The sequence below is a fragment of the Homo sapiens genome, chromosome 7 (genome assembly GCF_000001405.40).
Source record: "Homo sapiens chromosome 7, GRCh38.p14 Primary Assembly".
Lineage (NCBI taxonomy): Eukaryota > Metazoa > Chordata > Mammalia > Primates > Hominidae > Homo > Homo sapiens.
In genome coordinates this window covers 105,620,448-105,644,540 of record NC_000007.14, presented here as the reverse complement: position 1 = coordinate 105,644,540, position 24,093 = coordinate 105,620,448, and the positions used below count along the sequence as shown (strand labels likewise).

At 45.9% G+C, this 24,093-nt stretch overlaps 1 protein-coding gene across 4 annotated transcripts in view, besides 2 other annotated features; it reads left to right on the top strand.

Annotated features, from left to right (window-relative positions):
• Positions 1–24,093, top strand: part of ATXN7L1 (ataxin 7 like 1) — a 271,828-nt gene that overhangs the window by 232,059 nt on the left and 15,676 nt on the right. For all 4 annotated transcript variants that reach the window (NM_020725.2, NM_001385596.1, NM_138495.2 and 1 more), the window contains 4 exons: positions 1,420–1,703; positions 4,972–5,054; positions 5,932–6,188; positions 20,274–20,466. In NM_020725.2, the coding sequence (NP_065776.1) occupies positions 1,420–1,703; positions 4,972–5,054; positions 5,932–6,188; positions 20,274–20,466 (817 nt within the window). The remainder of the gene's footprint in view (positions 1–1,419; positions 1,704–4,971; positions 5,055–5,931; positions 6,189–20,273; positions 20,467–24,093) is intronic.
• Positions 2,550–3,517: an enhancer, noted in NCBI's record as "H3K27ac-H3K4me1 hESC enhancer chr7:105281471-105282438 (GRCh37/hg19 assembly coordinates)". NCBI's record gives its function as "activates a minimal SCP1, AML or CMV promoter by ChIP-STARR-seq in naive H9 embryonic stem cells {active_cell/tissue: H9 hESC(naive)}" and the evidence as "EXISTENCE:reporter gene assay evidence [ECO:0000049][PMID:30033119]".
• Positions 5,024–5,685: an enhancer, noted in NCBI's record as "NANOG-H3K27ac-H3K4me1 hESC enhancer chr7:105279303-105279964 (GRCh37/hg19 assembly coordinates)". NCBI's record gives its function as "activates a minimal SCP1, AML or CMV promoter by ChIP-STARR-seq in naive H9 embryonic stem cells {active_cell/tissue: H9 hESC(naive)}" and the evidence as "EXISTENCE:reporter gene assay evidence [ECO:0000049][PMID:30033119]".

The following is a 24,093-nucleotide window of genomic DNA, read 5'->3' as shown; positions in this document are numbered from 1 at the left end:
AGACACTCTGATCAGGGACGGAATTGGCAGTGGCAGGGTTTGTTACAAAAAACTGTCATTCTAGTTTCCCCTCACATGGGACTTGAAGCCCCAGGTCACCCTTCCCCAGGCCAAGAAGCTACGTGGTCCAAGGGAGAAGTCGGTAATGTCCAGCCACAATCTGTTCCGCTGCTCTGTGCCCTTCTCGCTGGCAAAGATCTGTAACAAACAGCTGGGATCCTATTTCAGAGTCATAAAAGGGGCAGGGGCTGAGAGGGGGCTAAAATAATTTCATGAACAAGTTGATCAAAGAAATAATCTGTGAATGAATCTTAGAGAAAGGAGAGCCAGCCAGCCAGCCATGTGGACAGATAAGATTCTTTTCCTGCCAAAAACAGCCCCTCTTTCCTGCCCTACATTGTCTGCAGGAATGTAAAAGCCATATTCTAGATCATTTGGCATTCAAATAGCTAAGTAGGCTTCACTCTCAGCTCAGAGATGACTGGGGAGCCCATGTTAGCATTCTTCCCTCCTGCCAGGAGGAAAGGGAATCTAGCTCAGGGACCAAAGCAAAGCTTATTCATCTCATCTTTTAAGACCCAGAGATGGAGTTCTCCACAGCCCCCCAGACGCAGGTCCTTCAGCATTAAAGAAGAAGAGAAATCAAATGCACATCCCATACAGGAGAAATAGCAGGGAAGGGGGCTAAGGTGACAGATTCTGAAGAGTGAAGCACACCTTTGTGCTCTGCCTTCTTAAAATTCATCCTTTCACCTGCCAGCCTTGAGAATTGCCTATTTACATAACTAGCTGCCTAAAATGGAATATTGGATAATGCTACATGGCGGCTCACTCAATTTGAGCCCATCCCCAGGATGTGAGAGTGATCCAGAAGCCGTCCGACAGCACGCCGTGCAGCACGCTGGCCTGAAGCCATGCCTCCTTGTGGTGTGATCCTGTCAGCACTCCGGAGCTAAGCAGATGTCAGGCCCGATCCGGGCCGGGCTGGGGGACTAGCTGAGCAGCGGGGGGAGGGGGCGTGATTCAGCAGTGGCACATTGTCTTCAGGGGACAAACGGTATCTCTTCCTGAGCTTCACAACAGGCGCCTTGTTCTGCCCAAGGTGCTGTGTTGGAAATGGCCAACCTATAGGGCCCGGGAAGTGGGGAGTTGCAGGATCTATGGGGACAGCTCAGCACGGGCGGTAATCAGTCAGCCCTGATGCCACCCCTGACACTGTGCCAGCCTCGCACCCCCTGTTGATCCTTTCCAGGGCACAGAACTCTCTCCCATCAAAACTGGACTCATGCTGCTTGCTTATAGAAGGAGTATAAATAAGTGATAAGGAAATGTTCTGATAATGATAAGCGGGTATGGTTCCTCAGCAGACTAGATGTATCAAAGAAGACAATTGTGTGTGTTTGTTCATTTATTTTTCAGTGTTCCAGTTCCTGTAGTCAGTTTAGAGAAAATTCCTAACCTAGTGAAGGCAGATGGTGCCAATGTCAAAATGAACTCCACAACCACTACTGCAGTTTCTGCCTCCTCCACCTCGTCCTCTGCCGTCTCCACCCCTCCTTTAATTAAGCCTGTCCTGATGTCCAAGTCAGTGCCACCTTCACCAGAGAAGATCTTAAATGGCAAAGGAATTCTGCCAACCACCATAGACAAGAAACACCAAAATGGCACCAAAAACAGCAACAAGCCTTACAGGAGACTTTCAGGTATGTGTCAGTGTCGTCAGGGTCTGACTCATGATTAGACTGAAAGGGAGTCGCAGCCATAACGAAGGAGTGATGTGCTGTTATCATTAAGCAGGTCTGTTTCATTTTAAGGGGGATGCAGAGTTTACCTGCAAACAGGAACCCCACCTAAAAATGCAAGGGAAAACCAGGTCTCTTCTTCCCCGGGCAGATGAAGTCCCTCACTCAGTTCAGTGCTTAGCGGGAGTTACCCTAGCAACCCAGGAGGCAGGGTGCTCTGCACCGACCTACTCTGTAGATTCCGAGGGTCTTGTGAGCAGGTGATTCTGTGTATCTGTATCATACAAACAGGTTGAACTAGCCCTGGCTTCCATAGAAGCTTCACTGCTGGGAAGCTGGACAACACACAGGGATCTCATGGTGCCTCAAGGCATGTGAGGGACAGCCCCGCCAACAGCTGTGCTGCACAGGGACACACAGCCTCTGTCCTTTGGCCTCGGGAGTTTCCAGGTTAATTCTGCAGTTGAGTTTACAACTGTCGATCCCCCATAATCAGGTTGGAATTCCCAAACAGGAACAGTAGGGCTGGCAGTGCCGATAGGGTGCTGGGGCGGTCTCTTGTGGGTCTACTCCTTGGTTGTCTGAGCAGACACTTGGGGTGCCAGAAGAGGCACACAGGATGATGGTTATTTGTTAGAGGCCCCTATGTGGGTAATGTTTGCTTTGGATCGATCTGCTGTAGAACTAAACGTGGCAGTTTTTACTTTCTCCAAAAGACCAGGAGAAGCTATAAACTTCATAACTTCTTCTTACATCATGGGCACTCCCTGATGGTGGCCAGAGAAAGTAAAATACAGTGACAGCCACCCTGTGACAGAGAAACTGTCCTCGGGTTAAGCTTGATTTTTAAGCACCCAAGGAATTGTGGGTAATTTTTATTGTCTACTCTGTATTTGTCTGTAGTTCTAGTTTCTCTATCTTTCATCTGTAACTCTTTTTAAAATTATGTCTGAAAAATCCCTCAAGCCCAAAGCATTCGGATAAAGCAGGCATTGTACCTTGCACATCTCTGCCTGCGCTGCTCACCCACTGTCAAGAAAGAAAGGTAGAGCCTGGTGCTCTCCCTAAGCACTGTGGGCCTCACAGTTCGGGCGGGAGCCCCCAGCACCTGGCTCTTCCTGCATGGAAAGCTTGGTTTCACTCTTCAGAGGTGGTGGCAACATCCCCAGAAAACCGGTAGGCGTGGGCACAGTGGCTGGAGGCCGAGGGCTCCTCGCCATAGCAGAAGCACGGCCGTGGCTTCCAGCCTGTAACCCCATCTGAAGTTGTCTGGGGATTTTTTTGCCGCACATTGTTTTTGCATTTTGTGGGTTGTCTTGTTTCGTCGGGTCTTTTGCTTGTTTCTGCCTCACTTTCACATTTGGCAGCCAGCTCCTACCCTCAGCCAACAGCCTGCTCAGCTCCAGGTCGACATGAGGCGCTGGTGTGGGACCAGGCACAGGCCTGACTCTGACAGACCCAAAAAAAAAACACCACACCAGGCAGCCTGGCCAGAGAGGGCTCCGAGCAAACCAGCATCTCCAGGCCTAGCAGGTTTTTTTTCTAAGTGAAGCTAAAAAAAAAAAAAAAAAAAAAAAAAAAAAAGAGAGAGAGAGAGAGAGAGAAAAGGCAGACAAAAAGCAAAAAAAGGGGGGAGGCATTTTGGTAACCAGCCAGGGAATCTGTCTTGGGTATAGAGTAGTTTTCTTGTGCATATCATCAGTAACACCATTGCAACCTCCCCATGACCCTCAAAGCTTTTGAAAATAGAATACATTCATTTATTATGGTATAATCTGAGCATTGTTATATGCTCGGAGTTTACTCCACCAATTTCAGACAGTTTTCCAGCTAGGAACCTTTTTTGAGTTTGCAGCCATTCAAGGGTCTTAAGGAGATACCACCAATTTCTGTACACCCTCTACCACCAGCAACACTGCTGCCAGTCTACCCACATGCCCAGAGGGCTGTGTCATTCCTGCTCTGCAGGACTTATGTGTTTGCTCGGTGCCTTCCAGAAACGGCACAGGCCATCCAAGAGGTGGAATTTTAAAGCCCAAAAGATCCTTAAGAGATCACCTACCCTGGGCAATATAGTGAGACCCTGTATCTACAAAAAATAACAAAATCAGGCAGGTGTGGTGGTGCATGCCTCTAGTTCCAGCTACTCAGGAGGTTGAGGCTTGAGCCCAGGAGGTCGAGGCTGCAGTGAGCCTTGTGATCCCACCACTGCACTTCAGCCTGGGTAACGGAGCGAGACCCTGTCTCAAAAAATAAAAATGAAAAAAAGAGATCACCTCACATCCCCTCATTTTTAAGGTGAGGACAGCATGATTGTCTTCCTGGCAGGGGTGAAGGACCCAAGATGGGTATAGAAAGAGCAGGCTCCTTAGAAGTAACCTCCGCACAAGCTGTCCACAGTCAACTGGAAGGCAGGAGCTGGGGAAGCCTGGCCTCTCCGCACAGACATCCTTCATCCTGGTGGGGCAGCCTGCCCCGTTTTATTCCCACGTGAAGCATCAGACCCAGGGCAGTGGGGGCGGGGAGCAGCTGTGAGATTAGCAGGCCCCTGCCCTCTCTGCACCTTCAAGTTCAGCCTTCTCCCCTGCCCCTGCCTGTAACACTGCTAGAGTGCCCCTCAATCAGGTAAATGGTGTTTGTGGTCAGCAAGGCTGTGTGCAAAGCCTGCGCCGAGAGCTTTGTCAAGCATGAGAGAGGCAGGTCACTCTGACATGTCAAGGAGTAATCTCCCATTTACATGGCTAAAACTAGCAGGAAGGCAGGAGCTGGAGTCAGGGTGTCTGTACTCTTGGAGCAGCCCAGGAAAGGGGTCGTTGGGTCTCAGGTGGCTCTCCCTGGTCTGCAGCCAGCTATGCCCAAATGCCAAGGACCTGTGGAACCATTGCAAGTAAAATAAAGCGTTAAGAGCATTAAGAGCAGCACGGCTCCTCTCCTTCCCTTCGGTGCCTGCTCCCGCCCTATTCCCCGAGCCTTGTGCTGCGTTCGGCGGTGCTGCCGAAGCTAGACTTGGGAACTCTGGGTTCAGAGGGGAGCACCATTTTCCCCGAGCGGTTCTGGAAGACTTTTAGCAGCTGGTTGAGAAAACAAAACACAAAAAAACAAAAAACAGATTGCCTGACAATGTCTCACTTGTTGGTGCAAATGTGCATTTTTTAAAAAATGTAGTCTTAATGCCAAATCCTATTTAGTCTCCTTTTTTCTTATATTTTTTGTTTGTTTCTTAAACCAGAGAGAGAATTTGACCCAAATAAACACTGTGGAGTATTGGATCCCGAGACAAAGAAACCTTGCACAAGATCCCTCACCTGCAAGGTATTTCTCTTTCCATAAAAAATACTTCCTGCTCTCGCTGGGGCCTTTGTCGAAATGTTTGCATGCCACTCTCTGCACACGGCAGGGTGTGGAACCTCGACATGACCCCCAGCTGTTCTTTGTAAGGGAAATGCTTTCTTCTCGTCCATGGTAGCAGAGTGCCTGCCTCAAGCTGGCTGGCTTTTTAAGAAGGAGAAAAAAAAAAAAAAAAAAACTAGGCTTCCCCTGTTACTTGTGAGGCCAGACAGTAAATTGTATTTATAGGCACTCACAGGCGGTTCTAAAGCCTGCTACGTTTTAATGTATGCAGGAGCAGCGGCAGCGGCGGCGGCGGCGGCGGCAGCGCCCTGAAAGGCAGCCCTGGAGGGGAGGATGATATGCCGCGCCCCTGATCCAGCCACACCGGGGTGGCCAGGGGAACAGCTGACCCAAGGCGGCCGCCATTGGGTCGCCCAAAGCCCTGTATTTCATGCTGAACTGCTAGTGCTTCTTGGGATCAAGGCGATGGCCCTCTCTGCTTGGTGGCTCTGTTTGTCTGGGCCGAATCGAGCCTCCCACCTGCACCTGGATTAACTCTAGCATTCCCTCGCAGTTGCCTTTCATCAGAGAGGTTTTCATGGGTTCTGCGCTGAAGCTCGTCATCCTATGCCATTTTTTGGAGGAAGCTTTGGCTTCTTAACACCAGGAGTGTAGGGCATGGTTGCGTTCGTGTGGTCTCTGCCTCTTCCTAGCCACAGAACAGGAGCTGTTGCCTTGAAGTTGACTTTTCAAGCACCTCTAAATTTCCATGAATTGCTATTTCTGAAATGGAGGGCCTGGGGAAGCAGGTTTATGTGCTGATCAAAGAGGCTGTGCTTTTCATTTCTCTTCTCCTTAGACACATTCGCTAAGCCATCGGAGGGCAGTCCCAGGCCGGAAAAAGCAATTTGACCTCCTCCTGGCAGAACACAAAGCAAAGTCCCGGGAAAAAGAAGTTAAAGATAAAGAGCATCTCCTGACTTCCACGAGGGAAATACTTCCAAGCCAATCCGGGCCGGCACAGGATTCTCTGCTAGGGTCTTCAGGGAGCTCTGGGCCAGAACCAAAAGTTGCATCCCCTGCAAAATCCAGACCACCCAACTCTGTACTTCCTAGGTAAGTACCACCTTGACGATAGAAGCCCTGAATGCTTGGTCAAGTGACTAGCTTGCTGGGTCTGTGGCATGTGGTCTGATTATATGTTAAATGGAAATCATAATAGTACTACTTCCTAAGGCAAGTAGTAAAGTTTAAATGAGATAATGTACATAAGAGGCCCAGCCCAGTGCTTGCCACATAGTGTTCAACAGATTTTACTGCTGTCATCATTATTATCATCACTGTCATCATCATTGTCAGCAGCAGCGGACTTCATGGCAGACAAGCAGATCTTATATCAGACAGTGTGTGTTTTTACACAGCAAGAGTAAGCTGGAAATAAATACCTGAAACTGTGACACATCAGCCGCCAGGTGACTTCCTGGCTGCCTGGGCTTTTATATTAGTTGACGATTCCTGGAGCGGAGTAGGGAAACCCAGGTGAATAGGTCGTTAGCACCTCTTAGACGCTCACTGCACCATGCTAGTCCAGTTGCCACGATATTTGTTTTGCACGCTCTCCTATCATCAGGATGAAAGGGGAAATTGGCATAGCAGAGGTTGTTTGTCCTTACATGTCTCTCCACACCAGGAAAGCTACTCTTCTGGGCCACCTGTTTGGGGTTCTATGTGGTTGTCCTGGACAGAAATGAAAAAATAGAAAACAGAATTAACACTCATTTGGATTAAAAGTAATTTAAAATCCATGCATGTCCATTTTGATGGGCAGAAGCTCAATTCCCAAATAATGCGACAGAGAACCACTTATTCAAAAATATTTATTGAGTGCTCGCTCCATAAGCAAGATTCCATGTTAGGTACTCTCAGGCAGGGGTACAGAGATTAATGAAGCTAGACCCCGCTTTTCAGGAATTTAGAGTTTAAAAGAATGAGGTACAAGTATCCATAATTTTTATAAAAAGGAAACATTAATAATACTCAGTGAGAAGTGCAGATAACGGTATTATCTGATGTTTTTTATGCATACAGTGTGAATCTCAACGGGTAGCAAATAGGCTTTAAGAGGACATAGTCGTAAAAGAAGGGGAGGGAGTTGATTTTTAAAGCAAAAACAAATATTTGATAGCAGTGGCTCCTGATCTGCCAGGCTCTCACCCTGATGCCTTCCATGTTGGTGCAAGCCTGACCTAGTTTGACAGCCAGAGTCCCTCTGTCATTATGGCCGAGCTCAGCCTCAGGCATTCAGGAGGACGCGGTCAGATGGAATTGCCATCCCCAACACTTCCATCATGCTCACCATCGTGGCGTTACTGTCACCGTTGACATGCTACTTTCCTGGCCACCCCTCACTTTGCAAGATCATTTTATAATGACTTCTCACTGTCATGTGGGGTGTTGGTTAGGGATATTACCCTTGTTTTAGAGTTGAGGCAACAATTCCGTTCCAAACTTCTGGAAGGGGCTTCAATTGTATATACAGCGACTTTTAAACTTCTTTGTAGCTATCGAACATTTTCATTCCAGCACAACCTTATTATGGGTACCTGATAGGAAAGTAGACTTGCCTCCACCTGAAGCCGGCTAAGCTCACACATGTACCCAGAGCCATTGTCCCCCACACCCTCTCAAGGATATCCTTGGGTTCCCCAAGGACTCCAGGGAACCCAGTTTGAAAGCCTTCTTTGACTATACAAATCTCCATCTATTTTTGACTGATGGAGGCACTTCTCACCAAGCAGTGGTACCTGGCCTAACAGAGAAAGAAGGGAGCAGCCATTAAAGAATAAAACAGTGGAGCCTGAAGGATCTGCTCCGACTGTTCCTTTTGGGTTTAATTTTCAGGGGAATGTTCATCTATAGAGAAATGCCAGCTGTTTGTGTTCTGTTAAGGAAGCAGGAAAGGATGGGTGAGGTTAATCAGAGAAAAGAATGTTTCTGGAAAAGAAGTGGGGGTGGGGGGGGCAGAGGAACACATTACACAGGTTGGTAACAGAATCTTTTTTTTTTTTTTTTTTGAGACAGAGTTTCATTCCGTGGCCCAGGCTGGAGTGCAATGGCGCGATCTCGGCTCACTGCAACCTCCGCCTCCCGGGTTCCACCAATTCTCCTGCCTCAGCCTCCCAAGTAGCTGGGATTACAGGCGTGTGCCGCCATGCCTGGCTAATTTTTGTATTTTTAGTACAGATGGGGTTTCACCATGTTGGCCAAGTTGGTCTCAAACTCCTAACCTCAGGTGATTCGCCCACCTCGGCCTCCCAAAGTGCTGACATTACAGGCATGAGCCACCATACCCGGCCCACAGAGTCATCTTTGAGGATGCTTTTCAAGATTGAGATAGGCACCAGAAAACTCAGGGGTGAGCTCTTTTCCAAAGTTAATCAGGAAAATGTCCTGCACTTAGTTTAGGACAAGATCCCCTGCAATTAAAGATTGAATAGGCATGATCAGAGTTGAATATTGTAATCACACAAAACTTACAAAAACGTTGCTTTACTCATATTGATGTATATATAATAGATGTTTCATCTACACAGATTATCTGTACTTGGCAAAAAAAAAAAAAAACTATCGCACATGAATGGAATTTATTGTCATCCCCTCCCACTTGTGAATTCCCTTTGTGGGAAATGCTAACGTGTGTGAATTTATTTCATACGTATCTTTTCGTTAACCTTGAAAATATTTTAGTTCTCATATTCTTACATTGCAACCCATTCTTGTCAGGGATTGCTAAAAAAGGAACTTGAGTCTAGAATTAGAAAAGTTAAAGTTAGATAACAAGGGTTGGAATGGGATTTGAAGTGGAAATCTCAACTCCGTGCCTACCAACTAGGTAAGCTTGGTCATGGTTCTTAGCCTGTCTCACCTCAGATTGCTCATCTGTACAACAGAGCTAATCAGAGTGAAGTGAGAAAGTACCAAGCACATAAGAAGCAGTCCATGGATGGTAGCTGTTAGTGAGTGGGAGGGGCACTCCACAGGAAGGCAAAGGCAGTGAATGCCGGCCTTGACACTGCCTGGTTTCCATATGCCTGCCCTCCGTGCTTCTGCCCCCAGCCCGAGGGGCCTGGAATAACACACTCATATGTTCAGTTTATTCGCCTCCAACTCTAAAGGAACACATTGCTTGCTCCAAAAAGCCCGAGGGTTGTGGATGACTAGCCCAGCCAAACCCACCAGGACTGTTGGAAAGGGCAAAGAGGGCTGGGATCTGACAAGCCAGGCTGAGAGCCCGCAGGAAGCTGGTGCCACAAAATCTGGGCACAGTCCCCTCTGTCTCATAGATGCTTACACATGCAGTCTAAAGTATAAAAGGGCAAACTTAGCTAATCTTAGACTGACGAGGGCAGTGTGGAGACAGGCAGAAGGTCTTAGATTCCTGACAAAGGGCAGGGATGAGTCTGGGGTAAAAGCAACTTCTGTTCCGTTCTGTATGTCATTAGGATAGTGATATTGCCACACTGCAAGCCAATTCTCTTTTTTTTTTTTTCCTGTAGAGACAGAGTCTCACTATGTTGCCCAGGCTGGTCTTGAACTCCTGGGCTCAAGCAATCCTCTTGCCTTGGCCTCTCCAAATGCTGGGATTACAGGCATGAGCTGCTGCACCCCGCCTTATTCTCTCCCTGATTTCTTATATATTTGTCCCTGTGCTGTTTCTACATCTGTTTCTCAGTCTGGGGGGCTTTGAGGTTGTACAGACAGGCACAAAACCCCTCCATTTCTTATTAGCTTTATAATAGTTTTTTTCATCTGAGGCCAGGCGCAGTGGCTCACGTATGTAATCCCAATATTTAGGAAGGCAGAAGTGGGAAAGTAGCTTGAGCCCAGGAATTCAACAGCAGCCTTGGCAACATAGCGAGACCCCATTTTCCACCAAAAGGGAAAAAAAAATTCTCATCTAAGAAAGGCAGATACTAGTTTACTCACCTAAGGTGGCTGGAATAAGAAATGTACTTTCATGCCTGGCACATAGTAAGGACTGAATTAAGGTCAAATGGTAAGGACTGAATCAAGGTCAATTGCCTTCTGCTCTCTTCCCTAATGCGCTCAGACAAACTGATGCTCTGCTTCCTCAAAGTGGTAAGGTGGGATTTTCTCTGCATTTCCCTGAGTTGAACTGGACAAGACCCATCATCCTATGCTTTGACGTTAGACCAGACTGGCGGGCAGACAGGGGACGGGTGATGTAGTACGGAGGGGGAAACAGTGAACGGCAACTAAACAAACTTGCGTGACTGTGTCAACACCTTCCTGTGGCTCATTGCCCCATTCCCTATCACTCCTCAGCTTTTCCGAGACCCAAGCTGGTTCCAGTGAACTCCTTCCCACCAGGTATCACCCTGGAGTGCAGCAATCAGAGCTAAAAGGTCCTGAAAGCATCCACCACTATATCACCTCCAGGAGGCTGCATGCACCCTGAGGGAAATGAGCCCAAAAAGGAAATGATGCGGAACTCCCTCCTCCTGGTGTGTGTGCACACACGAGCACACCGTCATGTGTCCCTGTTTCTCCCTTTGCTCCCACAGCCAGTTTTGTGGGCTAGAGCACAGCTTCCACACTCAGCATACTCCCCAGGAATCTTCCACTCATCTCCTCCTCTCTTTTATCTGGCAACTGGAACTTATTATAGAGTGTTTCAGCCACTTTTCTTCTTAATTACACTGCTTTTTTTGTTGTTATTGTTGTTTTGAGACAGAGTCTCCCCCCTGTCACCCAGGCTGGAGAGCAGTGTCTTGATCTCGGCTCATGGCAACCTCCACCTCACGGATTCAAGCGATTTTCCTGCCTCAGCCTCCCGAGTAGCTGGGATTACAAGCGCCCACCACCATAGGCTGGCTAATTTTTGTATTTTTAGTAGAGATGGGGGTTTCACCGTGTTGGCCAGGCTGGTCTCAAACTCCTGACCTCAGGTGATCCACCCACCTCAGCCTCCCAAAGTGCTAGGATTACAGGCGTGAGCCACCGCACCCAGCCTGCATTTTTAAAAATCAGAGTAAGATAGGCACATAGTTCAAAAATTAAACTGTGCTTAAATAATTAGAATGAAAACAGTTCCTGTCATCCTGGAACATGTCTTTGCTCTTTCTGTGTTCAAGCGCCTGTTTCCTGGATCCAAGTGACTGCCTCCTTCTTAGTTTGTGCCTTTAAATTTTGATGAAGTACCTCTTTCATTAGCTTCCTGTGAAAAGATTTGTGGGAGGTCAATATTTAGAATCCTTGCACACTTGAAAATATTTTTATTCTACTCTCACACTTAAATTGATAATCTATTTGAGTATATAACTGGATTGAAAATCATTTCCCTACAGAATTTTGAAGACATTTTTTCATTGACTTGTAACATTGAAAATTTTATCAAGAAGTTTAATATTTTTCTGATTATCATTTCTTTGCACACGTCCAGTTTTTTTTCTCTGAAGACTGGGGACTCTGAAAGTTCACACAATAGTCACTCTTCTTCTTTTTTTTTTTTTTTTTTTTTTTTTTTAAAGACAAGATTACATTCTGTAACCCAGGCTGGAGTGCAGTGGTACAATCATAGCTTATCTCAGCTTCAAACTCCTGGGTTCAAATGATCCTCCCACCTCAGTCTCCCAAGTACCTGGGACTACAGGTGCAAGCCACTGCCCCTGGCTAATTTTTTTATTTTTTTACAGAGGCAGGGTCTTGCTGTGTTGCCCAGGCTGATCTTGAACATCTGGGCTCAAGCAACCTGCCCTCAGCCTCCCAAAGTGCTGGGATTACAGATGTGAACCACTGCACTCAGCTGATCACTCTTGATGTAGCTCATTTTCATTCATCATACTGGGTACTCAGTAGCTCATTCAATCTGGAGATACTTATCCTCTTCTGGGATGTTTTCCTGTGTTACATCTTGGATAATTTTCTCCCCACTATTGTCTTTATTCTTTCTTTCTTGACTTTTTATTAATTGGATGTTGGACCTTTAGCTCTCTTACCTCTTTTTGTCTCTTACTCTCCTTGTTCTACTTTCTGAAATATTTTCTTTGACTGTATCTTCAAAAATGGTATTTTAAATCATTTATGATGCTTTCCTATTTTTTAGGATCTGGTTCTCTTTATCTGGTTGTTTACCACAAGATACTATCGTTTTTCAGAGGTAATAACATCCTAATATCTTTGAAGATAAGTTTTTTAGTTTTTTCTCTTTCCATCATCGTCTTAGTTTTTTCCAGGTTTGTTTCCTTCCTCTGTTCATGTCTTTGATGTTTGGTTGGGCAGTCTCACACTGGGGATGCTCCAGCAGTGTTGGGCCATCCCTAACCATGCACATTTGGAAGAGAGGCTCTAACAGCCTAATTGGAAGTCTGTGTGTGAGGTTGTCGACCAAAATTTGTCTGATCACCACTCAGCCTTTTGTTTGAGGATTCCCAAAGGCAAGATCTGGAAGCCTTCTCTGGGGCCATTCAGTTTCTCAAAGATAGAAACCTGATTGGTGATGTGCCTGGCAATAGGCAATCTGGAAGCCCTGACTAGAAATGGCCCGCAGTTCCACTGTGTCCAGCCCTGTGCCTCACTCCTACTCTGCGCTGAGCCTGATGGCCCCGTGTCTAGAATCTCTCCAGTTCAACTTCTCTGGCAAGTAAACCTTTGCTCTCTTGTTAGCAAGTTTATTGTCATTGGCCAGGTGCAATGGCTCATGCCTGTAATCCTAGCACTTTGGAAGGCCCAGGGAGGCAGATCACTTGAGGCCAGGAATTCGAGACCAGCCTGGCCAACATGGTGAAACCCTGCTTCTACTAAAAATACAAAAATTAGCTGGGTGTGGTGGCACACACCTGTGATCCCAGCTACTCAGTAGGCTGAGGCAGGAGAATTGCTTGAACCCAGGAGGCAAAGATTGCAATGAGCCGAGATGGCACCGCTGCACTCTAGCCTGGGCAACAAAGCGAGACTCCAGAAAGTTTACTGGGGTACAGAAGAGGGTGTCCTGGCAGAAATGGTGATAACTCATCATCTGGTTGTGTAAGGTGGTAGACATGACCTTTAGGTCCACTTGCCATGTATTAAGACCTTTAACTCTTGAGCTGTATTTAGTCCTCACCTCACCTATGACTTTTGCAGCTCTAGGAATGTCCTAGAGGTGGCCAGCTTCTTGGAGGTTCTATAGTAGGTCAGTTCCTTTCCCGTTAGTTAATACTTCTCCAGCCACATCCTGTTTTCTTAATGTTAAAATCTCATATGCTTGTATCAGTTAGGATGCTTCAGGAGCAAGTAGCAGAAAACATACATTACCATACATTTAAATAATTAGGAAACTACCGCATGCTACATGAGGTCCAGAGGTGGAGGAGCACCAGCCCCCAACCATCAGAGATTGACTCGCCTTCACAGCCCTTCTTTTATTCCACCCTCTTCAGTCTTTTGGCTTCATCCTCAAAGTCCTATAGCAAAATGACTGTAGCAATTCCAGGCACATGCAGATATAACAAGGTCCAGATGAAGCTGAAGACCACCTTTCCTGTGTGTCTCTTTTGTTTTTGTTTTTGTTTTTCTTAATGAACTTCATGTTTAGAGGAGTTTTAGTTTCCCAGCAAAATTGAGCAGAAGGTACACGTTTCCTATATACCTCCTGCCCACACATGCATAGCCTCCCTCCGCCACTATCAACATCCCCCACCAGAGCCTTGTGTCTCTTTTATTTATTTATTTATTTATTTATTTATTTTTTGAGACAGGGTCTCACTCTGTCCCCCAGGCTAGAGTGCAGTGGCATGATCTCAGTGCAACCTCTGCTTCCCAGGCTCAAGCAATCCTCCCACCTTAGCCTCCCGAGTAGCTGGGACTATAGGTGCCTGTCACCATGCCTGGCTAATTTCTGTATTTTTTGTAGAGATGGGGCTTCACCATGTTGCCCAGACTGGATGCCTCTTTTTAAAAGTGAGGAAAAGCATTCCAAAAGCCCTCTACGCCAAAAAATATTTTTTAAAAAATTTCTCATGTCCTTTTCTAAACCAATCATTAGCAAGCAAAATGAGAGATTCCTATTATTGGTTTAGGAGTTAAATGGATGTTAGGAAGTCATCGTCGTAAGTATCACCACATTTCTGCTGATCTCATTGTTCTTTAAAGCTAATGCCTTTTTTATCTCTTTACTGTTATTTTAGTAAGATTTTGGAAGAGAGAAGAGAGAAATATGTGTGATCCATCTGCCCTGTTTAACAGGAAGTTCTTCACATTTCCATGCTCATGGCAGCATTATGGCCAAGATATGGAAACAACCTAAGTGTTCATTGAGGGATGAATGCAGATATATATATATAATATTTCAGCCTGGTGCAGTGGCTCACACCTGTAATCCCAGAACTTTGGGAGGCTGAGGTGGGCGGATCACTTGAAGTCAAGAGTTCAAGACTAGCCTGGCCAACATGGTGAAACCCCCTCTCTACTAAAAATAAAAAAATTAGCCAGGTGTGGTGGTGCATGCCTGTAATCCCAGCTACTTGGGAGGCTGAGGCAGGAGAATCACTTGAACCCAGGAGGTGGAGGTTGCAGTGAGCCAAGACTACACCACTGTACTCCAGCCTGGGTGAAGGAGTGAGACTGTGTCTCAAAAAAAAATAATAATAAGACCGGGCACGGAGGCCTACACCTGTAATCCCAGCACTTTGGGAGGCTGAGGTGGGTGGTTCACTTGAGATCAGGAGTTTGAGACCAGCCTGGTTAACATGGCTTAATCCCATCTCTACTAAAAATACAAAAAAATTAGCCGGGCGTGGTGGCAGGTGCCTGTAGTCCCAGCTACGCAGGAGGCTGAGGCAGGAGAATCACTTGAACCCAGAAGGCGGAGGTTGCACTGAGCCAAGATCACGCCACTGCACTCCAGCCTGGGTGACAGAGGGAGACTCCATCTCCAAAAAAAAAATAAATAAGTAACAATAATAATAATAATACATATATATAAAAAATAATATATAATTATATATATTATTTAACAATAAAAGAAGAAGGACATCCTGCCATCTTCAACAACATGGATGAACTTGAGAGCATTATGCTAAGTGAAATCAGACAGAGAATGACAACTACTGTATGATTTCAGTTACAGGTGGAATCTAAAAAAGCCAAATTCACAGAGAGAGTAGAGTGCCAGTTGTTTGAGGCTAAGGGTTGGGAGAAATGGGGAGATACTAGACAACTTTCAGTTACAAGATGAATACATTCAAGGGATCTAATCTCCAGCATGGTGACTCTAGTTAATAATACTGTATTATGTACTTGAAATTTGCTAAATAAGTAGATCTTAAGCAAATTTCACTGGGCTCAGTGGCTCATGCCTGTAGTCCCAGCTACTAGGGAGGCTGAGCTGGGAAGATCCTGTGGGCCCAGGAGTTCCTGTGAATACAGTGAGTGATTGCTCCACTGCACTCCAGCTTGGGAGGCAGAGAGAGACCGTGTCTCTAAAAAATAAAAATAAAAAGTGTTCTCACCATGGGAAAAAAAAAAAACCCGGTAACTGTGAGGTGACATATGTTAGCTAACTTGTGGTAATCATTTTACAGTGTACACATATACCAAATCACATTGTATACCTTAAATATACACAATTTTATTTATTTATTTATTTATTTATTTATTTATTTATTTATTTATTTGAGATGGAGTCTCGCTCTGTGGCCCCGGCTGGAGTACAGTGGCGCGATCTCGGCTCACTGCAAACTCTGCCTCCCGGGTTCACGCCATTCTCCTGCCTCAGCCTCCCGAGTAGCTGGGACTACAGGTGCCCGCCACCATGCCCGGCTAATTTTTTTTTTGTATTTTTAGTAGAGACGGGGTTTCACTGTGTTAGCCAGGATGGTCTCGATCTCCTGACCTCGTGATCCAACTGCCTCGGCCTCCCAAAGTGCTGGGATTACAAACGTGAGCCACTGCGCCCGGCCACACAATTTTATTTATGTATTATAAGTGTAAGATGTTATACCTCAGTAAAACCGAAGAAAAATAAAATACCAAAAAATAGGAAGTTCTTTAATAACTTTCTTACATATACCTGTACTACTAACTCTATTTTCTTCTTGTTTTTGTTTTTCCTATTTTTCATTATGAAATTTTTCCCATGTATAGAAAAGTAGAGAGAATAGTATATTGAACACCTACAGGTCTTGCTTTAACAGTTACTTATTAATATTTTGCAATTATATTTGCTTCATCTACATTTTTTGATGATATGTTTTGATGTAAATTGCAAGTACCATGGCATTTCACCTCAGACGCCTTCCAAATGCATCTTTTAAAAGTAAAGACAGGCCGGGCACAGTGGCTCACACCTGTAATCCCAACACTTTGGGAGGCCGAGACGGGTGGATCACGAGGTCAAGAGTTCAAGACCAGCCTGGCCAAGATGCTGAAACCCCGTCTCTACTAAAAATACAAAAATTAGCCGGGCATGGTGGCACACACCTGTAATCCCAGCTACTCAGGAGGCTGAGGCAGGAGAATCGCTTGAACCCGGGTGGCAGACGTTGCAGTGAGCCAAGATTGTGCCACTGCACTCCAGCCTGGGTGACAGAGCAAGACTCCATCTCAAAAAAAAAAAAAAAAAAAAACTAAAGACAGGACCGGGCGTGGTGGCTCATGCCTGTAATCCCACCACTTTGGAAGGTGGAGGAGGGCAGATCACCTAAGGTCAGGAGTTCGAGACCAGCCTGGCCAACATGGTGAAACCCCGTCTCTACTTAAAATACAAAAATTAGCTGGGCATGTTGGCGCACACCTGTAGTCCCAGCTACTCGGGATGCTAAGGCAGGAGAATTGCTCAAACCTGGGAGGTGGAGGTTGCAGTGAGCCGAGGTCGCACCACTGCACTCCAGCCTGGGCAACAGAGCAAGACTCTTTCTAAAAAAAAAAAAAAAGGCCTAGCACAGTGGCTCACACCTGCAATCCCAACAGTTTGGGAGGCCGAGCAAGTAGCATCATTTGAGGCCACAAGTTTGAGACCAGTCTGGGCAACATAAGCAAGACCCTGTCTCTATAAAAAATTTTAAAATTAGCCAGATACTGTGACACATGCCTATAAGCCCAGCTACTCACAAGGTTGAGGTGGGTGGATCCCCTGAGCCCTGGAGTTTGTGGCTGCAGTGAGCCATGATCATGCCACTGCACTCCAGCCTGGGTGACAGAGCAAGATCCTATCTCTAAAAATTAAAAATAAATACAGAAAAAGAAAGGCAATTTTCTATATAACCATGATGCTGTTATCACACTTAGTAAAATCCAGCTCCTTTTTAATCTATCTCCTGCAGGATAAGGAGGTCCTATCATGATGGAGAGGGCTTCATAGAGAGAGAGCCTGTTAGAAAGTTTGGAAACAAATCTTCATCAACAGAAGATTTGTTAAGTAAATTGTGATATATTCATACTATGGATTACTGGGGAATATTTAAAATGATATAGTTCTATATATGGAAACACGTCCACAACATCACTAGGTTTTTTAAAAAGCATCTCTCAAAATAGTATGTACTACCCACATTTCATGTTCCGGGTGATCGTGTGATCCAGTTCTTGCTTTAAAATGCATTTGCATGTGTGTGCCCAGTAACAACGTCTGGAAGGATGTAAATAAAAATGCTAATAACACTTGATCTTGGGTGGCAGAGTTATGGATACTGGTTTTTTTTCTTTTTTTTATGTTTCAGCCTCATCTAAATTGTTTTATTATTTGGGTCTTCAGCGGTAAGCAGACAATAGTGTTGTTGCTCTTCCTGATACAGAAGAACAGGTATTGAGGAACGTCGGGAGAGATGCGTTCTTTGGCCTGTAGACACGCAGAATGAATGGCAGCTTTGTTTTTATAGTACAGGAAGGTGATAGTCCACTATAAATTGTCATCCCAACATAATTCTTATGACACTGAAAAACTACATGTGGCCTTGTTTTGTTTTTATAGTAAAATATACATAACACAAAATTTACTATTTTTAAGTGTCTAGTTTAGTGGCATTAAATACATTCACAATGTTGTGTAGTCATACTGTCATCCATCTCCAGAACTGTATATCCACTAAATACCCCCTCCCTATTCCCCGCTCCTTCCAACTCCTGATAACTCTTGTTCTACTTTCTGTCTAGGTATCTCATGTAAGTGGAATCATCCAATATTTGTCCTTTGTGTCTGGCTTATTTCATTTAGTGTGATGCTTTCAAGTGTCATTCATATAGTAGCAGAATTTCATTCATTTTTAAGGCTTGCATAATATTCCACTGAATGGATATACCATATTTTATCTTGTCATCTGTTGATGGACAGTTGGGTTGTTTTCACGTTTGTGGTTTTGTTTTTAAGTGACTATACTTTTGGACTCTGTTTTAAGTTCAAGTATTTGAGACCTGAAAAGATTTCAAAGCAACAAAGTATCCAGGGTGAAAATAAGAGAAAAGGGAGACAGATCAGCAGTGCTGCTTCATGAGACTTGAAGGAGCAGCTTTCAAAGCAGAAAGCAGAAAAACAATTTTTTTCTCTAAAACTTCTTTTTCTCCCTATCTTTGTCACCTCTCCCTGCTCAATCACCTGATGAAAGTGGAGAAGTAGTAAAAGCTAGTAACAGTTAACTGTGACTATTCCTCATCTAACTCTTCTGCTAATGCGGATGTGTTTGATTTTGGTTTTGCCTTGTGTTGTTTTGTTTTTTACTGCCTAGGAAGCAGGTAGTTCTACCTCTTATTGTGACATTGCTTTTTTATAAGCTTAACCATAATTAAGATGACATGTGTTGGGTTGTTTTATACACACATAGAATTCATTCATTGGTTCATTGAAAAAAATATCTCTTTAGCACCTACTATGAGCCAATCATGCCCCACAGTGCGTAAAAGGGCTTGTCAAAAAGTAAATTGAAGCTGGGCACGGTGGCTCACACCTGTAATCCCAGCACTTTGGGAGGCTGAGGTGGGCAGATCACCTGAGGTCAGGAGTTCAAGACCAGCCTGGCCAACATGGTGAAACCCTGTCTCCACTAAAAATACAAAAATTAGCCAGGCATGGTGGTGTGCGCCTGTAATCCCAGCTACTCGGGAGGCTGAGGCAGGAGAATTGCTTCAACCTGGGAGGCAGAGGTTGCAGTGAGCCGAGATCACACCACTGTACTCCAGCCTGGGCGACAGAGTGAGAGTGTTTCGTAAACAAACAAATAAATAAATAAATGTAAATTGAAACACTCATCCTCAGAAAATACAATTAAACTACAACTTAATATTAAGTAACAGGCATGGGTGCCGAGTAAGGTACTAATGAGTGGCCCATCACCAGGACAAAACTTTTTTTCATGCCAGTATAACAGTTTCCTAAAATCATAGCTTTGTATCAAAGAACGTATGCATAGGACTGCATTTCTTCATTACTGATATTTTTGGTGATTGCCCTGATCTTGTTTACCTGGTTGATCTTCCTGTCAGGTTCCACTTTCAAAGGAAAGCAACTGTATGGCAAGTACAACTTACTTACCTGCAAATGGGTGAATAGTTGTAACTGAATTCATAGAAGACTGGTGTAGGTTCAGTTCACTTTGTCACGTTCCCATATCTCATGTTCCACTTACACTGTTGGGCTTTCCCATCATTCCTGTCATCTGCGCCAGGGACAACAAGTGGGGCAGAACCTAACTTGACTGTGTCACTGGAGAGAGCTGGTCACTGCAAACCCTTCAGCCTTGATTGTTTTCCCTTATGCAAAGTCACCACCAATGTGCCCTCCCTGAGGTACTGGCAAGGCTAATCAGGCTGTTTTTTTTTTTTTTTTTGAGACAGAGTCTTGCTCTGTCGCCCAGGCTGGAGTGCAGTGGCATGATCTCGGCTCACTGCAACCTCCACCTCCCGGGTTCAAGCAATTCCCCTGCCTCAGCCTCCTGAGTAGCTGGGACTACAGGCACGCGCCACCATGCCCAGCTAATTTTTTGTATTTTAGTAGAGACGGGGTTTCACCATGTTGGCCAGGATGGTCTCGATCTCCTGACCTCGTCATCTGCCCGCCTTGGCCTCCCAAAGTGCCGGGATTACAGGCGTGAGCCACCGAACCTGGCCTTAATCAGGCTGTTTTCTGAGCACCATTAAACTGGGTGGATCTTGTTACCTCAGAAAAGGTTCATTTGGTTTATTTTGTTTGTTCTCCGCTCTTGCCCTTAGACCATCATCTGCAAATAGCATAAGCAGCAGCACATCTTCAAATCATAGCGGCCACACTCCAGAGCCCCCACTCCCACCGGTTGGAGGTGACCTCGCCAGCCGACTGTCCAGTGATGAAGGGGAGATGGACGGAGCCGACGAATCCGAGAAGCTAGACTGTCAGTTCTCCACGCACCACCCCAGACCTCTGGCGGTAGGCCTCCTTCCGTTCCTTGCCATGCGTTCTTCGCCTGTGCTTTGCAGACACTTAGGTGATCATACCAGAGGCATGATCCTTCCTAAGGCAAGGCTGCCTGCGCAGTGTTTTACAAAAAGGCTTACCATGAGTTTGAATGATTGCCTTAGAAATACCCTTGAACATTACAAAAGGAAAGGAATGGGCTCCCAGCTTATTATAATCCCAAGTACTTCCACATACTACTAAAAAGAAAAAAGGGGAAAAAATGGATAATCCCGAGTATTTATGGCCCGCTTTGAAGCGAGCACGCGTGAGAAATAGTGTTTCTGTAAGTGCACTCAGGAGCTGACCCTCTGGCCTTGTCCATCTAAAAACGGAGCCTCTGATGTCCAGGGTTAGCTCGGTTCACCTACTCTGGAAACTGTCTTAGCAGCGTGTCAGGGGCCAGCCCTTGTTGGTATTCTCCCCTGTTGGTTCTAAGTGTTACTGTTGTGTGACCATATGGCACCAGAACTGAGCGTGTGTGTGTGTTGAAGGAAAGAGGAAGCATTTCAGGTCACCATGATTGCTGATTAGTAAGAAGGGCACTTTCTTTCCATTTCCTTGAATGAGTGCACACTGACAGTTCAGAAGGTCATTGACACTGAGGTGGGACCTTAGTTTCCCACCTCACAGGAGGCATCCCCTGGAGGCTTGTTTATTGTTTGCGTACGAGCACTTGAGGAGGGAATGCCTGGTGCTGCCATTGCAGAGCCAAATGCAGGGGCCTAGAACATGGGACCCCATGGTGGTTTACTCTGGTGCCAGCCTGAGTCCTGCAGGATCAGCTCTGTCTCTAGACTGTGTAAGTGAAATCCATCCTGGTCCCGCATCAAGATCGAGTGAATCCCTCTTCCCTCCTATCCATGTCATGAACGAAGGCCAAGTTCACTTCCTTTCCTGGGGATAATGCTTACCTGTGGCTCACCATCAGCCTGAGACTTTGCCTCTTGTTTAGTACAGAAAATAGGGACGATTAAGAATGCCTTTGACTGCCAGAAGTGGAACATTCAACTCATCTGGCACAAGCGCTAAGGTCATTTAATCATCTCACGTAGCAGGGCGTGTAGAGGCAGGTGCTCCCAAGCTTGGTTCAGCTTCTCCACGATGTCATGGAGCCGAGGGACAATCTCTGCAATTCCCTCTACTTTTCACGCATGGTCCCTGTACGTCAGCTGCTGCTCCGATATTACATCCTCACCCAGTGGTGTGCTACTCAGGTTGGAAAGGGACAAACAGAAAAGGGGTCTTCTTCCAAGATGTTGCCTTATGTTAGGAAAGAAAATCTTCCTATGAAAACCCCAGCAGACTTCCCCTTATATCTACCAGAAATGGGTCACATGCCCCCGCCGGATCAATTCGCAGCAGAGAAGGAAGGGGTTGCAGTGACGCAGGAGGAACCAGCCATGATTCATCCCAAGGTTCTGGGAGGAGACCCACTTGATTACTGCTCTGTGTCAGATATCAGAATAAAAGTGTGGTTCTGTTAGCAAGGAAAAGACAGAGAGAGGTGGGAGTGGGTGGTAGTTGGTGAGGTTGGCAACCAGTAGGGTCTGCCACGGTGGCCCACGCAGTGAGGATCTACAGCTCTGCTGGAGGCGTAACATGCCAGCCGGGAACTGGAGCCTCTCAGGGCCTAGCCTCGCATCTGTACGGAATCAGATACACAGGTAGCAAAGACAAAACGGTGCCTCCAGCTCCTGAGTCTGAAAGAAATATGAGGCTCTGCCAGAAGGCCAGACTCTGGAGCACATCAAGACATTTGTCCAGATGACAACCTGCCAGGCTGCAGTGGATTCGCTAAACTCGGGATGTGGCGCAGCTGTGTGCCCTTAATGTTTTGCTGATTTAAATGGAAAGGCCACAGATTTGTGTCTTTGCTTTGTCCTTTCTCTCATGGCCAGTTGATACATTAAATCATTGTTTGTAATGAATGCTTGCTCGGTGCATCTTTAGCAATTGGGATGAGGGAAGAAATGATGTCTAGACCTGGAACAGCTCCCACATGCTGCCGGGGACCAGCTTCTATGTCGGAAAATTCCCTTTGTGTGTTTTCTTGCTTGGTCAGTAAGCACTTAACATGAAGGTGCAGAAAAGTGTTTTTCATCAGCAGTACCAGATTTGATGGGTGATAAGATTTTAATGCGAAACCCCCCAAAACACCAATAGAAACAGAACAAAGGGAAGGTCTTGCATTTCCTCCTGAGAACTGTTGTTCCAAAGTCTGGTTCCAGGACGGGTTTGTGGAATGAGTGCCAATCCAGCCCTGTGTCTGGGAGAGAGGCCAGGGAGCTGCTGGGAGGCCTGGAGGAAGGGGGAGAGCTGCTTTTGAGTTATAGAGTCATTTGCAGACTTGCCTGAGCCCTAAACCAGCCAAATGTCACCTTCTCTGAGGCTGCTTCTTGCATTTCTGTCTGCTAGCCTTCCGGTTGCCCTAACATCATAATCAAATGTTTATTAAACATCTGAATGCCAATATTTCATCCACATATTTTAAGAGAGATAGTGTGCTTTAAACATTTTGTGGATCCCTGTCTCCCCCATCTATTTGTTAGCCCAAATGCCTACTATCCTCATACTAAGGAGAAGGAAGAGGATGGGCTCCCCTGTCTATACACTGATAGTCGAATCAGGTATGTAGGCATCCTGTGTATAACGTAAAACAGCCATGTCATAAGTCCAAGGCAAAATGTAATAAAGCAGGCAATGGGTGTGCCATGGGAATTCACAGTGGGAAGATCACTCAGATGAGAGCCACTGGAAATGAGAGTCTTGATAAGGGAACCAGGAGAGAGAGGGGGAAATTGGGATTGACAAAAAGAAGAAGGAAGGAGACAACAGGGAGAAGGAACAGCAGGAGCAAAAGCTTCAAGGTGGTGCTGTGTCCCAGGACAGCCTACAAAGACTGATTGGAGGCAGAAATGTGGTCGAGACTGGGAAACGAAGGCATTTAGCCTGGCTGGAAGCAAAGTGGCTCTGTTGACATCAGATAGGAAAGGTGGGACCTGGGACACCAGCACAAGCAGTTTCCATTACTATCATGAGAAGCAGGGAACCACCAAGTTCCTTGAGAAAATGTGGCTGATAATAGGACAAACAGATGGTCCTGAAAAGTCACCCTGGGTGTTGGTTGTTGTTTCTTTTTTTTTTTTTTCTCTGAGACAGTCTCAGCCTGTCACCCAGGCTGGAGTGCAGTGGCACAGTCTCAGCTCACTGCAACCTCCACCTCCCAGGTTCAAGCTATTCCCCTGCCTCAGCCTCCCTACGAGCTGGGATCCCAGGCACGTGCCACCATGCCTGGCTAATTTTTGTATTTTTAGTAGAAACGGGGCTTCACCATGTTGGCCAGACTGGTCTCAAACTCCTGACCTCAAGTGATCCGCCCACCTCAGCCTCCCAAAGTGCTGGCAATATAGGCATGAGCCACTGTGCCTGGCATTATTTGTTTCTTAACCAAAAATGCTGGCTCAATCCCAGAAGTAGAAAACGTAGCCCCTTCTGTGCCACAGAAAATTGAATGTAGCTATTGTTGAGTTGTAATATGAGGTTCTGCAGAAAATCCAGAGCTCAAACTACAGAACTGCAGAAGTATTTTTGGCTTCA